This window comes from Homo sapiens, chromosome 8 (genome assembly GCF_000001405.40).
Source record: "Homo sapiens chromosome 8, GRCh38.p14 Primary Assembly".
In the NCBI taxonomy this organism is placed as follows: domain Eukaryota; kingdom Metazoa; phylum Chordata; class Mammalia; order Primates; family Hominidae; genus Homo; species Homo sapiens.
Genome location: NC_000008.11, coordinates 59,047,988 through 59,066,344, shown reverse-complemented (window position 1 = coordinate 59,066,344; position 18,357 = coordinate 59,047,988). Strand labels below are relative to the sequence as shown.

The 18,357-nt window shown below is 35.8% G+C and overlaps 1 protein-coding gene across 1 annotated transcript in view, besides 2 other annotated features; it reads left to right on the top strand.

Annotated features, from left to right (window-relative positions):
* TOX (thymocyte selection associated high mobility group box) overlaps positions 1–18,357 on the top strand; it is a 313,736-nt gene that overhangs the window by 52,803 nt on the left and 242,576 nt on the right. The gene's annotated exons all lie outside the window — the stretch shown is intronic.
* Positions 7,023–7,559: an enhancer, noted in NCBI's record as "NANOG hESC enhancer chr8:59971345-59971881 (GRCh37/hg19 assembly coordinates)". NCBI's record gives its function as "activates a minimal SCP1, AML or CMV promoter by ChIP-STARR-seq in naive H9 embryonic stem cells {active_cell/tissue: H9 hESC(naive)}" and the evidence as "EXISTENCE:reporter gene assay evidence [ECO:0000049][PMID:30033119]".
* Positions 10,513–11,013: an enhancer, noted in NCBI's record as "NANOG-H3K27ac hESC enhancer chr8:59967891-59968391 (GRCh37/hg19 assembly coordinates)". NCBI's record gives its function as "activates a minimal SCP1, AML or CMV promoter by ChIP-STARR-seq in primed H9 embryonic stem cells {active_cell/tissue: H9 hESC(primed)}" and the evidence as "EXISTENCE:reporter gene assay evidence [ECO:0000049][PMID:30033119]".

Below are 18,357 nucleotides of genomic sequence, written 5' to 3'. Positions count from 1 at the left end.
AGCTAATGAAAGATCAGTGGTGTTCCTTTTGTACAAGTGTAGCAAACTTCCTACTTGTCAAGCCTTTAACTGTGACTTATTTGTTCATTAAATAATCCAGCAGCACATGTATGAAACTATTGTAAGTCCTTTTCTGAATGGTGGAAACTTTATTTGGCACAACTATGCCATTTAATGCTTTTTACTGTTCACAAGACCAGCATTCAGCAATATCCAAGAAGGAAGAGGGTGGTTCTGTTTTCCCTGTGGTTTGGTATACTTTCCTCCCTCATTTAAATGCTCCTCGTTTTTTCCTGTGTACCTTCCATAACTGAGGTTGATCATTTTACCAATTTGGACATCTTTTGTCTATTTGGAGGAATTCAGCATTCAGAATTGGGTTTGTTGTTTTGCTCTCAATCAAACCGTCATGGTAAATCATGGACGCATGTTATTCGCTTATTGGTTTTGTCAATATGTGAGACTTAATCTGATTATTTGATGATTTTTTTTTTCTTCAGAACATGAACTTTGGTTCTCATGTGAGCATTCAGAAGGGAGAAACCAAGAGTGAAAGAATCTTAGTTTGGAACAGAATTTTGTTCCTACCATAATCCACATAGATGGTACACTATTTTCTCTTTTTTTCTTCTGTCATCTATGAAGTAAAGATGTTTCTGCTCTGTGACAGAGCTGTGCAGTGGGAAGCCTCTGAGTTCCAGAAGAGTTCTTCTAAGGAGCTAAATGATTCAGAACAAGGCACTTAACTTTTCTGGGTCTCAGCTTCCTCATTTGTAAAAGGAAGGGGTCAGATTAGATTATCTTTAATCTCACATAAGCCAATAATCTTAAATTCGAATATGCAAGTAATAACATAGACGATATGAAACTTGTACTAAGTTACTTCCTCTTAAAAAACATTAATAACAAAACTTGTTATCTGCTTTGTATTAATTTTACATGGCAAAGGAGGATAATAATGTCTTCTAAATCACTGAAAACCACTGAAGTAACGTGCAATTGTAATCCAAATTAGTCACATTTATTCTAACCATTCTCTTACTCCTTTGCCCATTTTAAGTTACTGTGATTATATTTGGTAGTTCTTTGAGGGGGAGAAATGGTTTTTTTGTTGTTGTTGTTGTTTAATTATGAAAATGTTATTTCAGTAAATGTAATTTAATTAAAATGAGAATTTCTGCCAACTGTTTTAAATAAATACAGTATTCTTTTACTAGTATGAAAGGAGTTACTATTTGCTGTCTCATTTCCTCACTAATATGCTGGCGTGTTTAGCTTGAACCTGAGCTTGTGGAAGTTTATTCTTAACCAAAGCAGTTCCTTTTTCATGTAAGTAGGTTAAATGTGAATTGGGAAGCCTCAGGGCGCTTTTTTGTTCACTTTTAAAAAGCCCCCTCAAGTGGGCCCCTTTTAGAAACCTGGAATCATATGTTTGGAAGATTGATCCAAATTAACATTAGAATGGTTCTTTCATTTTTAAAAATTATACAGACTATTTAAAATATGCTAAATTGACATACATTGAAATAAAACTGAATAAGGAAGTAAAATTTCTTGTTTTATTCTACTTTTGTGATAAAAGAATTGGAAATCAGAGAGAAAATGTAGAATATGTTAAGGTACAATTTTGCCCCCAAAATATAGAAGGAAATGTATTTGTACAAAAGGTATAAATTAATGTCAATTTATTTACTTGTGATTTCATGTTCCCTAGAATAGTGCAAGCAGAGCACGAGTTTATATATGTTTTGACTTCCGAGAAGCTTGTTTATTTTTGAAAAAAACTACATTAATAGATTTCTAGAATTATATGCTAACGCATTTTATTCATAGAAATGCTGGCACTTGATGAAGTATGGTTAATGTGCTTTCTCATTTGCAAGTTATATAGCAGTTTTATCCAGAGTTAAGACAATGCAAACATTTTAATTTGTTGAAAAGTAGTGAGACATTCAATATGGGTAAAATTGCTTAAAGTGATTTTTTAAAAATATGCTGGAAAACTAGAGGACGACAGATTATACTTTGGCTATAATTCAGGACTATACGATCACCCAGGTCCCTAAAGGTCTCCAAAGAATGACAGAGAAGCCATGATTTTCAGACATGTGCATTATATATGTTAATAGCTTTGCAGGGAAAAAGGTCTATATCCTTGTAATAGAGGAAACATTCATTTTTAGCATTTCAGACCATAGGGAACATGGTAATTACAATAGGCACTAATATCTGGCTCCTTTCTACTCTTGCTGTCACCTCCCCCCACCCCAAGCACTTCAATAATCCCAGTGGAATGAGTCAAAGGACTTTAAACCTATGTCATTTCCAAGTCTTTTATTCTCTCTTTAGTACATTTAGCACAACATTGGTCCTCGAGGAAGGTATAGCATAGTTCGTGTACATATACACACACGAACACACACACACACGAACACACACACACACATACATGATTTATATATCACAGCAAAAAGAATTAGAAATGCTTTTCTTTACTTAGATATGTCTATAGACGTTTTGGTTCATGTGATTTACAGTGGTGATTTTTAGAAACACAAAGCTGGAATATGCTTTTATAGTTGAGATTAAGTTTAAAGCTATGTTCTCAGTAAAAGTCTATCCCGGGCCGGGCGCAGTGGCTTAGGGTGTAATCCCAGCACTTTAAGAGGCCGAGGCGGGTGGATCACGAGGTCTGGAGATCAAGACCATCCTGGCTAACATGGTGAAACCCCGTTTTACTAAAAATATAAAAAATTAGCCCGGCGTGGTGGCATGCACCTGTAGTTCCAGCTACTCGGGAGGCTGAGTTTGGAGAATCACTTGAACCCGGGAGGCGGAGGTTGCAGTGAGCTAAGATCATGTCACTGCATTCCAGCTTGGGCAACAGAGACTCCATCTCAAAAAAAAAAAAAAAAAAAGTCTATATCCTTAGTCAAGTAATCCCATCGTTAGAACTCTCTGGCCATCGTTCAGTCTTTTGGAATAAAAAAAAAATTTTGCAAATTTTATCATTAGGTGAGAAACATAAAAATAAGCAGTCATTAGCTCTTAACCTATAATGTTTGAAACATTTACCTGTCTGGATTCAGTTAACATGCAAATCTCCTTTGAATTAGCCCATATGCACAGTATTGGTAGTTGCAATGTTTGATTGAGATTCTTACAAATCCTCAGTGCTTAGTTTTTAGGTAGTTCCATTGAGAAATGCATAGGATTTCAGTAGCTAGAGCCCTGTAACTAATACCTACTCAAAATGTGCATTTGATGGCCAAAAAAATGCCTTTTCTGAAGAATTTTTGCAAGCTTATTTTTACTGAAAACATAGGCAATAAAAAAATTATGGAATAAATGTATAAACTTTTTTCTTCACTATGAAAGATTCTTACAGTTTTACCTCCTTGTTAAAGGTATTAAATTAAATCATTTACAGAAGTTAATCCATATTATCAGGAAAAATGCTAGCTTAAAGCTTGATGATAGACCTGATTGTTTTCCTTTTATTTTGTAATTTTAACTTTCTTTCTCTCTTTCTCTCTGTCACACACAGACACACACACACACCCTCTCTCTTTTCCAAATAATTGTCATTGATTGTATAATTTTTGAGAAAACCAAAAGGCATACAGGTGGCTTTGACTTCACTAGTAAGGAGTAAAGGATTGAGGAATTTTAGTTGTTTCAACCTCTGTCACTGGGAACAACTATAGAACGACACCCGTTGTTAAGTGGGAAAGTGACCCTAAGCTGTCTGCTTAGAACAGTTCATCATTGTCATCCGAAAGAGCCATTCTATTGAAGCACACTTATATAAACCCTATAAGTAGAAACTACCTCCTCCCTACTCTCATGCAACCTTCAAACTCAATTCACATTTAATTATCTAGTTAAATTTTCCATATTTATAAAATTAATATGCTTTTATGAGTAATCTTCTCTCAGCCACCACCATCCTGCACCAGCCCTTACTGGTATTTGCTCTAAAGCGGATTCATTTGGACATGTTCTTCCGCTGTGTACCTGGCAGGATTGTCTTCATTCTTCCAGCTTCTTTTAAGGAGTTGCCTCCCCAGAAGGCCTTCCTCAGCCTCTGCGGAGTTAGGACCTCCTCCTTTTCCACTCCTACCACCTCTCCTTACCCCTTCTCCACCCTCAACTTCCCTTAGAGGACGTCTCACACTGCTTCGCAACCTTTCCACCTGACTTTTAGGTTTGGGTTTTGGTAAAAAACTTTGGTTCTGTTAAAGAAGAATCTCCTGGGTGTGGGGGCAGAATTTTCTGGGGTTAGAGACACACTGGAGATCCCAAAATGCTATACAGGAAGCCTCTTCTTGGAATGTTTAGGACAAGTAAATATTCCTCAGAACAAGCTTTTGAGCTTGTAAAATCTCAATGAAAATACATAAAAAGATAAAATCTGAATCTGAAGAAGAGAAGCGCCAAGAAAGAAGATGGAGGGGCGTCACTCCCCTTGTTCTGCTGTTGCCTTCCTCCCTCTCCTGGCAGGGGCTGGGCATGGGCGCACGTGGATTTTGCTTTTCTCTAGCTCTGCCTTCCTCTTCCATGGTGATCTCCAAGAGGCTGTCATTCCAGACCTTCTGAGTTTCTTGCTACTAGATATATATAGGAAAGTGTTAAATGATGGAACGACCGACATAAAGGAGTGGGCTTTATTCAAGGGGTTGCCATCCTCTTATCATCACCTGGCCACCAACTATGAAACTGGTTAAGGATCTTTACAGCCAGATGGGGGTTTTGCTAGTAGTGACTATGGGGTGGGGGAAAAGAGGGGATTTTTACCAGATAAACATTTTAAAACATTTATTTAAAAATTGTGGTAGAGGAAATTACCGAAGAGGCCATCACAGAGAAAAAAATACTAGGTAATTACTAAACCTTTACTGAACGTTATCTTTTAGAGATACAAGCTGTTTTGTTCCTCCATTTACAGGAGTGAACTGGTTTGTGGCATTGCTTTCCATACAATCTTTTCATCAAATGCCTTTTATCTCAACAATCAGTACCAATTGCTTTGGTTTCTTTGGTTTTCGATGATCCACATTGATTATTTAGAAGCTGAAGCATTGCCATTCATAATACTTTGATCCAGTCATTTAATAACATGATTTTATGCACAAGTATACACACGCACACACTCAAACACAGATTTGGTTTACAATTTTGTAAACATGTTCTGTTTTCATTTTCTGTTTTACATTATTTACAATCTATCATTTTTACCGTACAATCTCTTGGTAATCTCCTGTAATCTTTGCTGACTTATTCATATCTCAGTAACTCTAAAAGATGCAGCTTTATGGAAGATTTTGAGTAGGGAGTGATACAAGGGAAGAACATTCAGCAGGAAAAGATCGATTGTATTTTTCAAATAGGTTTTCCCCCAATAGTAGCGTTGTTCTTCAACTAGCCTTGGTTGGTTATGAGTGGCTTAATGTTCCACTCTAAATATAAGATATAAAGGGCACCAAACAACAAGATACAGTGGCAAGTATAGTCAGTCTCTGTCAGCCCTGGTTTCCTCATTTGTAACATGGGATAATGGTATTATTTAATTTTTGATGTTACTAAGAGAATTGAATGGCATAACAGGCAAAAATGGCTTCAAAAAGGTGACAGGTATAAAACAAACATTGGCTATTAGTACTATTTTTATGTTATTATTACATATAAAATGTTTGTTTGTTTGTTTGTTTGTTTTTTGAGATGAAGTCTCGCTCTGTCACCCAGGCTGGAGTGCAGTGGTGTGATCTTGGCTCACCGCAAGCTCCGCCTCCTGGGTTCAAGCAATTCTCCTGCCTCAGCCTCCTGAGTAGCTGGGACTACAGGCACGTGCCAGCACGCCCGGCTAATGTTTTGTATTTTTAGTAGAGACGGGGTTTCACCGTGTTGGCCAGGCTGGTCTCAATCTCCTGACCTCGTGATCTGCCCGCCTTGGCCTCCCAAAGTGCCAGGATTACGGGCGTGAGCCACTGCGCCCAGCCATAAAATATTAATAGCCAGCACACTATTGGGATTGGGAGCCAGAAGGGTATAAGGAAGAAAGGAAGAGTTGCGATAAGTAAGTCTGTTGAGGTAGATTTGAGTAATCCACATGAAAAGACATAAAGACACGGGGCTATCAAATGTTGTCTTGATGGAATTAAACACTCTGTTATCAATTATTACAAAAATAGTGGGAATGCCAGCTGAGACAAGGTAAAATGATAAGGTAATAGCATCCTAATAAAACGGGAAATCGTTACACAATTTTAGAATTTTGTCAAAGAATAAATGCTTTATTTGTATTTGTCTCTGATTATGAAAAAAAAGAACTATGGTTGATCAAGGTAAAAGATAAAAAGATAAGCATACATTAAGCCTGTGTCTACTTACTATAAAAATCTAGATGATTTTCTTTCTAAAAGATTTTTTTTTTTTTTTACAACATAACATAAAAGGTGGAAACAAGACTTTGGTCACTTCCCAACACTAATGTGAACATTTTCTAGATGTTCACTACTCCTTTCTGGCCACGATAACAAGAGTTCTTTTGAAACAATGCCACAAAGCAGCACTAAATATGTGCTCTCCCACACTCTGTACATAAGGGAAATCAAGTAGGGAATAATTTTACTAACTGTTTGCCAAGGTCAACTTTTCTGTTTTTCAAAGAGTAATGTGTTTTCCTTGACAAATAATGTAATCCATTCTGCATTGAAATATGGGCCTCCTGATATGGGATTCTTTCTTGAATAATAATATAAATTCATGTTATCTAATTTGACAGTAGACCACTGTATGGACATTTAAGAAACAAAATGAGTGTTGATGTTGTTCAGAGGAGATATATTTATTAATGACTCTTTATTCTTCCTTTTCCATTCTGTATCTTTAGTAACTTGGTGATATTTCTCAGTTAAAAAAAAATTTAAAGAGTAAAATATTTCTTCTTTTTACCTTCCAATTAAATTATTTTCTTCCGGTACTTGGAATGGGGATTCTGTAGGAGCTCATCTGATCTTTAGAAGAACATCCAAGGTAGCCCCACCTTCTCCAGGCTCTTAGAAAGGAATTAAATTTTATTTTAATTTTGGTGATGTGAAGGAAGGGGAATGAGAAAGGATCATGTTTTTTGAAATTCTTTTTATATTCTAGAAGACAATTACTTAGAGCAAATTGGCTCTTACTTCACTAGTTAGGCACCCTCATTATCTACTTAAAATACCTCTATCTTCTCTCATTTACAAACAAATAGAAAAGCTGCCGGTATACCTCAATTCAAATCCTCTCTGGCCAGATTACTCTTACTGCTCTTGAAGAAGACTTTACTGTTTGCCTCCTACATTCTAGAAAGGCCAACCAGCAGTCTCACTTGGCTGAGAAGTTGGCCATCAGGGTGTGCTTGATGTGCAAGATTAAAGACCAGAGTTGGCTGTCTTCCTGGATGCCCTGGGCTGTGTTAACTTTCTTCATTGAGAGAAACTCTGACCTTTTAATAGATATTTTGTTGTTGTTAATTGTAAACAGAGAAAGGCTCCTTGGTCTAGGAGGCTCTTGCTGGATAGTGGCTGGTAGGAAAATAGTTGCAGGTGGGGAAAGGCACCATGGAGCCTCCTGAGCTCCTTCTGGAACCTGGGGAATCAGACCCTCTGACTTGGAGCGCACAACTCATCATAGTCAGCATGCTGGCTGCTAACGTATTTAAGGATGAACAGTCACAGGGCTCGCACTTAGGAGTCCCTATAGCTTGTACATCTTTAGCTGGGGCAGACCCACATGATCCTGAGAATGTGGCTTGCCTTCTTCCGGAACTTAGTGTCTCCAAAGAGAAAAAGACAGAAATGAAATTATCAAAGGTGTCTCCTTCCAGTGGGCAAGCATGTGGATTCAGCTCACCATTTCCACCAGTTACAGCTGCTCCCCTCATGGCCCCACTTGCTCCTTCTGGACCACTTGAAGGAACCAGCTCATGCTATTTTTCATTCCCACCTTTATGTCATCTTAGAAACATAGTCCTGAAATATATACGTAGTTCTTTCCTCCCAAAGCAGTGCTGTCTCCCAAGCTCAGCTCACCCAGAAAGCCACCACTGATCAATCCAGGGAAGTGAGCTGCTCCACCTTCCAAATGCTAGTGCTGCCTTGAGCAGCTCCTGAAAATTCTGCTCCTTTGTAGCAAGCTTACATGGGGAGAACTCATCTGAAATGAGATGATATTCTTAGTTGCTTAATCATTTTTTTCTTTAAGCTTTCAAATAATAAGTAAACCATTGTCTAAACAAAAATCCTTTTGAAATAGGATAGGGATATTGGTTTTATATTTTAAAAATATTATTTTTTCCGTCTAGAGCCTGGATTGACCTGTAGTCCACATTCTAGAGCACCCTTTGGGTCAAGCATAAAAAACCTGGGAGGTGGAGGTTGCAGTGAGCCGAGACTGTGCCACTGCACTCCAGCCTGGGTGACAGAGTGAGACTCTGTATCCAAAAAACTCCAAAAAACAAAAAACAACTTCCAGAAGTTTTGATGATTGAAGTTTCCTGAAGATATTTACAAAAACAGCTGATTATTAAAGGAATACATATTGCTTGTAGAAAATATGGAAAATGAAGCAATAAAAATGTGTAATTCGACCACTCAGCATGCATTTTTTCCCAGCATTCATATATATAATTATAAATATATGGTATTCATATACACACTGTTTTGTTTGTGTACACTGAAAGGCGGGGGGCGGAGAGAATATACTTTTTATTCACCCACAGCAGTTACAAGCATGAAATCTGGAGTGACACAATGTCATTTTAGGCAAGTTCTTTAATATCTCTAATCCTTAGGTGTTTGGGGTGAGGATTAAATCAGATACTAGGAACTAATACTTATTGTTTCCAGTGTCTTGAACATTGTTCTACACATTTTATACACAATAACTCTTTTTAATTCTCACAACAAACCTATGAGGTGTGTATTATGACACTTTGCCTCTGCTTGTATGCAAATAATACTTGTAAAGGGCTCAGTGTAGTGTCAGAGGTGTAATAAATACTATTTGTATGTGATTTTTTTTTCTACAAGATATGGCCAGTTTGTAACAGAAAATTTTATAGCATATTTTTCATTTTATGTTTCAATATTTTCCCTGAATCATATTTTTATTTAAATATAAATTTACTAGTTAATGTCTTCATTAATATGTAGTGCTCAAGGCAGCACTAGCATTTGGAAGGTGGAGCAGCTCATCTCCCTGGATTGTTCAGTGGTGGCTTTCTGGGTGAGCTGAGCTTGGGAGACAGCACTGCTTTGGGAGGAAAGAACTACGTTATTAAAGGGTATCAAAGGGTATTTTTCATACTCTTTTTTTCTGGGGATAAAAATTTAGATTCTTACATTAGTAAAGGCTAGGGCCAGCTTTTTGTATATTATCTGTTCAAGTAAGTGTGCAGTTTTTCTAGACATGTCATGACCTTATCTTTCCAAGCAGCTAGTTAAAACGGAGAGATCTGACTTGCTGCCAAGAAAGGGCCATTGCTTTTGTCTTTTTCTAGTTGCTCTTCATGTGGGCTTATGTGGGACTCTAGGGAAGCATGCACAGTTGGTTTTTTCAATCAGATACTTCCTAAACAGGTGGCATGTGACTTTTCAGATAACAGAACGGAGTAGAAATTTCTGCATTGATGTGCATTTTTTTATATAACGAATGACACAGACTACTGAATATTTTTTCTTGGGTTTCCATAAGCTCAGATTCAATCCTTTAATCCTTTAAGTCCTAGGGACACTGTAAAGAAAGCACCTGGCAATTTTAGTTTCAAACATTTTACTAAGGGGTCATCTTACCATTTTCACTGTAGTGGTATCAGTATAATTCTTTTTTTTCTTTTCTTTTCCTTCTTTCCTTTTTTTTTTTTTTTTTTTTTCGGAGAGGGCCTTGCTCTATCACCCAGGCTGGAGTGCAGTGGCACGATCATAGCTCACTGCAACCCCTTCCTCCTGGGCTCAAGTGATCCACCAGCCTTAGCCTCCCTAGTAGCGGGGACTACAGATGTTCACTACTATACCAGTCTAGTTTTTAAATTTTTATTTTTGGTAAAGATGAGGTTTTGCTATGTTGCCCAGGCTGGTCTTGAACTCCTAGGCTCAAGCAATTCTCCCACCTTGGCCTCCCAAAGTGCTGGGATTATAGGCATGAGTCACCACACCTGGCTTCGGTATGATTCTTGGGGTCCTTGGTTTAGAAAGACTTCCAAGAAGACTTTAAAATTATTCATTTTTTACTACCTTTTATGGGATGTTTAGCAAAATGTTTTGATCTCTTTGGCAAGAGAAATGTTTATGAGCAGTCTCATAATGTTACTTTGCAGTTACTTTAAATAAAGTTATTTTAGGACTTATAAGGGGTAAAAATTTTTATGATTTATTGTCAATGTTCTATATCCTGAGATGTTCTCCCTGTAGTCTTGTTTAAGTTGTAGGATGGGACAAATAGGACTTGGCAAGTAGATGTCCCTGATAAAGTGAGCAAGTACTAGGAATGCAGACCCAGTTGCTGATTTGGGAAAGATTCAGAGCTTTAGAGAGAGTTTTGTATTATACTTAGAAAGACCTTTCCCACTTTAAAATTAAAGTGTTTTCTACCTTGAAGAAAATGTTTTTCTTCAAAACATTTGACCCATCTAATGATTTAGTTTTGACTAAGGTGTGAGGCAGGGATCAAACACTTTTCCCCAGTGGCTCCCAGTGACACCTTTATTATGTGTTAAATTTCCCATATGTAGTGGGATCTGCTTCTAGCCTTTTTCTTTGGTTTAGTCCATTTAAGATCAAATATATGGTCAGCCATGGTGGCTGCACTGGAATCCTCACTAGCCACTGCCTCCTGGCTGCAGCCTTTCTTGTTTCCTGGAACTCTGTAGTAGGCAAAATGCTAACAGGCCAAACAGAAGGGACAGCATTCATGTGGGCCCTTGTTCTTTATTCACAAGCTCAAACATGAGAAAATGTTGCCTTTGAGGGGAGCAGGTAGAGAAAAGCCCTCCTTGGGTCTGCTTCATTGAGTCCCTGTGTGCTAATGTTGATCCATGGGTAGGGTTCCTATTGCTTTACAACAGTGCTTGTCCCCTGGGGCCTGTTTGCAGCTGATCGGAGCACAGCTCCCCCTTTGATATCACAGCAAGCTTAGTTTTGAATCAACTCTAGGAGTATACAAAGTAATAAAGCAAGCTGGTTGTCACATCAGTTCAGTGGCACATAGAGTAGTCCCAGAAAAGTCCTTGGAAAACTGTAAGCTACTACAATGAAGCTAGTTAGATTTTTTTCTTTTTCTCTTTCTTTCTTTGACTCTTTTTTTTTCCTTTCCCTCCCTCCCTCCCTCCGTCCCTTCCTTCCTCCCTCCCTCCTCTCTTTTTCCTTTCTTTCTTTTTCTTTCTTTCTTTCTCTTTCTTTCTTTTTTCCTTTCTCTTTTTCTTTCTTTTTTTTTGCTTTCTCTTTCTCTCTCTTTTTTTCTTTCTTTCTTCCTTTCTCTTTCTCTCTTTCTTCCTTCTCTCTCTGTCTTTTTCTCTTTCTTTTTCTTCCTTTATCACTATGAGCTTGTGGTGGCTGTTGGTACTTGGTGGAGAACATTTCTGTAATTTATGAGAGTATACATTTAGAGGAATGTATTTGGTTTGTGGCGAGGAAACTTCCTTTTTCAAAGTTGTAACGAGTCGGCCTTTAATATAATTCTCAGAACTATTTTTTTTAATTGTTGTTCCTGGAAATGTTACTAAACATATTTCTAAAACAATATATTTGTCTCAGTCAAACTTTTAAAACCAAACTCCAAACCTTTCTTGCCTGTAAATTACTAAATCCTGACAATTTAAAACTACATGATACAAATCATAGAAGCCATTTCCAGCGAACTCACAACTCTAAGGATAGATTGGCAAGATAAAAGGCAACAGTTCCTGATCTCGGACATTTGGGAATACTGGATGAAGCTTGGAAATTTGTCAGGTAGTTGAAAATGTTTTCTTGCCTTCTTTCTGCCAAAGGAAGGAGAGAGTACGCAAAGATCAGAATGATCCCTATATGCTAATGACCTCTGTGCTCATGCCTATTCATGAACTGTTTATAATAGAGTTAATTACAGTGTAAATTATTTATTGATATTATAACGTAAGCATTTAATAATTAAAATAAATTGGCATTATGCATATGTAGCTTTAAAATGCTGTGGGGTTTTATTAGATCTTTTTGGCCATTCATTCTCACACATTTAGCCATGCACACTGAATAGGAGATTACTTGCAAGTTAGTTTAAGTGGTTAAACTAACCACTCTTTCACCACTCTCTGATATTTTTTTCCAATATAGTTAAAATTAATTCTAGACTCCAGATGCAAAGTTAAAAAAGTTTAATAAGAGGATGCAAGATTTTCTTTTTGAAAATGTATGATATATATTTTTTTGACTTGAGAAAAATATGTTTGCTTTACATAAAGTAGGCAAAATTATTGCTTGGTCTTGAATTACTAGAATTATAAGAAAAGTGACATTAAAACATTAGACAATTCTCCTTTTTTTCCCTTTTAAATGGAAATAGATTCGACATTTGAGTATCTCAAGGCCAATGATAGGGCCTAAATCCTTAAATAGCATACATGTGTTCACAATACCACTTACACATTGATCCAAATTCCCTAGATTCCATAAAGGAAGCAGTGACTCTTGAGCAATAACTCTTACTATAAAGCTGTTTGAAATACATGACACTTAAAGAAAAATGGTATAAAAATGTCAGTACAGAACAGAACATGTTATAAAGACTACGTTTCTGGATAAAAGACAACTGAATTATTGGTCTTATGAAGGGAATGAAACAACAGTCAAGATTATGTTTTATGTTTTTTCTAGTTGAGGCAGACCAATATATTTTCGAGACAAACCTGCTGAGATCCTAGAGGCAGTGTGGTGTGAGCGCAAGGTTGCCGTAGAACACGGGCAGACACAACCATGTGTTCCGTTGTTTTTTTCAGTAGGGATAGCAGGACTTTGTTGTTTTATGGGAGATAATATTTTCTCATTGTAACATATTAAAAGATAGAAAGGGTCAGAAGATTTCTGCAATTTGGGGAGTCAAAATAGTGAGTAAAATGGTGTTATTTTGATACCGAATGGCTTAGTCAGTGAGAGTACATATTTGTGCTTAAGCAAAACATTTTTTTAAAAAAAGTTTTATCACTGACCTAAACAATGTTTGGTTTGATTGTATATATGATTTCTTTTCATCCAAGAAATGTCAAGGGCATCCTCAGAAAATAATAATTATCATTAGTTTTATTGCCATATGGAATTCAAATAAATATTGATTTATCTAAGTCTTGAACCATTTAGAACCACATTTTCCATTATTCAAGCTTTTTCATTATTTTACAATTCATTTTTCGTTATTTGGTTCTATATATGTGATACGAAAGTAGGGCACATTAAAATTTTTTATTTTACAGCTTCTACGTGTCAGGTTTTTTTCTAAGAACTTTGCAAGTATTAACAGCTTTAATCCTCATAGCACTTTGAGAGGTATATTATTAATATGCTAAGGAATGTCTTGCCAATCCTACTAATATTATCAGAAGAAATGAACAGAGATGTTAAGCAATTTGCCCAGTGTCACCCAGCTGGTGAATGGCAGAAATGGAGTTCGGTCCCAGTGAACTCTTATGTTGCCTCATGTAAAAACATAACAGCATATATGGAAATTCAGTTCAACTAAGACCATTGCTGGGGGAGAGCACCTTGTAGCTTTCTGGTAAATGGAGAAATTGAGATTTTTGTTTTAAGAATAGTCAACTAAAATCCACACTTGAATTAATTCTGAAAGTTAAGAAAGTTATAAAAGTCAGCAGAGAAGGTAAATGCTTATTTATCCTTTAACATAAATAAGCATAAATAATATGATTTATTTCCACATGACACGTGACATTTGATTTCATTAAAGTGATCTATTCCAGAGTCTAGAATCTCACTGCATGCTTTGCAAATGCACTAAGTATTGATTGAAAAATGACTTTAGTAAATTGGAAGTCAATATGTGAAAAAACACTTTTGGCATGATTGTAAGTTTAATTGTAGGAAAACATTTAAACATATAAAATAATGTTATAATGATACTTTAATGTGTTCCCATTACATATTTAAAATATAGCATCCTTGTTTCTGTATAAAAGTAGGTAAGAGAAAAGTGTTATGGATGATTCCTCATATATTCGGATCTCATCCAAAACAGAATTTTCTTTGTAAGCTTTGTCTTATGTAGGATCATATCCTTTAGCTTTATTTCTCATCATATATAAATTCTTAACAGGGATATGATTCCAAAAGAAAAGACAAAGTAGAGAGTCAAAACTTCGGGCAAACACATATCCTGATAAGGAAAATTGATTTAGGATCATTCAGATGTGCTCATTATATTGACTCACTAAATAGAGCTGATAAACTTCTCCATTTAATTTTTTAATAGAGACAAACCTGAAATCAGGGCAGTATTGGGAGTCTAAATACCAATTCAACTTTTTCCATCATCTGCATCATTTTATTACTTCAGTGAGAAGTGTAAACACTCAGTCCCCATCCAACAGGTATTTTTAAAGCATCTGCTGGATGCCCAGATTGTTTACGAAAGTTTTAAAATTTTAGAGTAGATTTTCTTTATTTGTTTGCTAAGACTTAGGTTGCATAGAGACATGGATATTTACAAGGACATTTGTCTTAGTCTTTGTGTGACCAGTTTCTAGTGTGGTGTCTTTCATATAATAGACTCCCATAAATGTTAGATGATGAATAATTGATCTTCAATGCAAAGAATGATGTAATGACTTTATCAGAATTACTGTAAAGATTTCTGGCGCAATTTTAAACTAAAATGAAAATTTTGTTTGTTTTTAAAGTTATCTGTTCTACTTGTATCCTGGAGATACCGCAACGTCCATGACTATTTGAGATATCTGACATAATCTCGAAGGTTTTAGGGATTGTTCTAGACTTATTCATTGTCCTTGATATTTTCTTAAACCCATATACTGCTTTTACCTACACAGTAAGTAAAGAAAACCACATCCTTATCAGATAGTGGGAAATCTGTTTCTTCTCTAAGGGACCAAATCTGCCTCATTTTCTTCAGTTTAATATCCTAGTAAGTATGAAGGGTTATTTTCTAGACTATAATTGCCATCTATATGTTGATGTCCTATGTTCGGGGTATGCCATCAGCAGCCCTTCATTTTGTGTTCTGGAAGTCATCTAAAATCAACCTAGTTCAGCTCAGCTGATATTTTTATGCCATAGAGCATGTGAGAATATGTACATTTGTCTCAGTCTTCATATGACCAGTTTCTAGCATGGCACCTCTCATAAAATAGACTCTCATAAATGTTAGATGATGAATAATTGATCTTCAAAGCAAAGAATGATTTAATGACTTTATCAGGATTACTGCAGAGATTTCTATATTGGTGAAATACTGCAGAATGCAATGAGAGCTTTTTCACTTTTGTTCTTACAGATATTTCACATAAAAAACAAAAACAATTCAGTTCTGTCAAAATGAGATTACAAAGGATGAAAAAATACTTAGCACACACACCAAATGTTAGGTGATGCAAATGTGAGATCCAGAAGGTCATCTTGAGCTTCTCTTGACCCTGAGAACATATTTAGGTGTTTGTATTAGTACAAGGAATTAGGATGAAGTGAAAGTATGGACTTTTCCTCCTTATGTTGATGCTTTAAAATTTACCGTAGAGTTCAATAAAACTAGTATTAACATTATATTAGAAAAAAATTTCAATAAAATATTACATAATTTTGATTCTACTTAATTCATTAATCTGATGGCTCTTTAAGTACTAGATCAAAGAAATAAAACGTGTTGAGTATTGAGTTAATGGCATATGTGGAGTTTCATTCTGGCTTATCGTTTCTAATATTTGAGTAGTCATGTGTGGTTCATGCAGCACTTTCACAAATGCTATTCTAACAACAATCCTGGAAGGGAGAATAAAACTTTGCTTGGAGTTTCAGCTCCAAGTCTAGCTGCTTTGTCAACTTGGAGCTGTTGCTTCATTGTATCTGCTTTCCTTGTGCACTGGTGTTAATTCTGACTGGATAATAAACTTTGACAATAGAACAAAAGTTGCAATAAATTGTCACAATGCGTGAAATTCCAAGCTCTCCTATATTTAGCACAAGGCTTAGGAGTGCAGTGATAGAAAATGCACAAGGGAATAGGTTACTGCAAAGCAACCTCACTTGAAAAGAATCTGGGGATCGATACCAGGCTTATAAAATTGTTCATGTCAGGCAACCCCTGGATATGTTTTATTGCTTTTATTAGTGTGACTATATAATACAAGAACATATACTTCTGTGCTTTTAATTTTCAAAGCCTGCTTAGTATAGAAACCCCCGCCACTCCACTCTTCTCTCTTCTTTGACTACATTCCAAAAGAGAGGCGAACTTTCTAAATACTCATATTTCAAACAGATTCACTTTCTTTTGGGAAACTATAAAGCACTCTGTGATCCATAGAAGTGGTTTAACTCAGGAGTTCATAAAGGTATCAGTAGCCAGCAGAAATGCTCTTCTACCTGAGTGTTTGAAAACCATTGTTTAAAATCCTATTGAAATCTTTTTACAAGGGATTTAAAATAATTTATAGATTAGAAAAAATGGAGAGCTGGGCAGGTTCACCATACTGCTGTTTTCAGCTGGCTGAATAATTGCTTAGCTATTGGTCTACTTTGGTTGTCTTATTCAATGAAGAATGTTCGAAAAAAAATCCAGTTTCTAATATTTAATACTTTGATGTATTGTAGATATGATCATTAACACATTGGTTTTAATCTATATTAAAAAATACAACAAGATATTGAAGTTCTAGATCTTTTCAGCCCAGTATGTTGATTAAAAAATGTATTTTATCTAGTTTGTTAAAAAGAACAGAAGATAAAACTTTAGGGTCTTTGTGATCCAACGAAGAGGAGAGTTTATTGATCAGCCACTTAATTATCATTGATTTTTGGGGTGACCACATAGTTGCCAAGTGAAGTCTGAGTAGCATTTGTTAGCAATTGAATGATTAATTAACTGATTTTTTGGTCCCTAAGTTGAAAGAGCAAACTGACTTATATTATGGATTTAAATATAGTTCAGATGTTTTAAGCGTGCATGTTTTCTTATATCACCAGCTGTTTGTTTTTTTCATTTTCATTACCGGGCCAAATAATAATGGATAGATAAAATGATTTGCTTATACTGTCATTGAAAATGAGTCAGTGGAATAGATTGCAAACTAGCTGAAAAGAGCTCATGACTAATTTTAAATGTCTTTGAGTAAATTTGAACATTTTTTCGAAAATACATTTTTATTTTCAATAACCATATTTCATATATTAATATCTCTTATGCTTATACATACTTATATAAACATAAATAGTGTTTTACATGATATAAATACAAATTGCTTTTAATGGATGATGTAACTTAAAATATAATATTTCTGGCATGCTTGATGTGATGGATACCCCATTTACCCGATGTGAATATTATGCATTGCATGCCAGTATCAAAATATCTCATGTAACTCATAAATATACAAATCTCCTGTGCACCCACAAAAATAAGAAATTAATTAAAAATGTATCTGGGAAGAATTAAAATTAGCCATAGGTTTCTCCCACCCTTTATTTTTTGGCTCAATTCATTCCCGATAATATAAAAAATGAGAACATTTCCAAGAAAACTTCCTCTGTTGCCTTCTTTTTGGGGGAAGGTCTATTAACTTGAAGCCAGAAGACCAGAAATTTTGCTCTGTTATTTATATGTTTTATGCTTTTTGGGTGAGTTTTCTAACTGTCTGATGTTTCAATGTCTTCACAGATAAAAAAGGGGGAATTATCTATTATGTTCTAATGTGGAGCTTTCATGGAACTGTTCATGGATGTGCAGACTCAGGGAGGTACCTGAAGATTCAGACAGAGAGTGATTGCTGAACACAATCTAATAGTTTGGTTAACCCAGCAGCTTCCTGGTTATTGCTACAGATAATGGTCAAGAACAGAATTTGTCAGTTACCTTTAGAACTGAAAGCTGCCAGGATATAAAGATATTTTCTTTGCTGATTTTGAGAATTTCTTATTCTGAGGCGCTGAGTAGCTCTGCATGGGGCCTTTGGGATCATGGCCATTTTGATCTTGAGAACAAGACAGAATATTACTTTTTACTTTCAGGAAAACCGTATTTGTTTTTTTGTAAAGTGATTATTCCACTTCAGATATGTCCTGAAGGTACATTACTATAATAATAATCAAGGACTGCTAACAA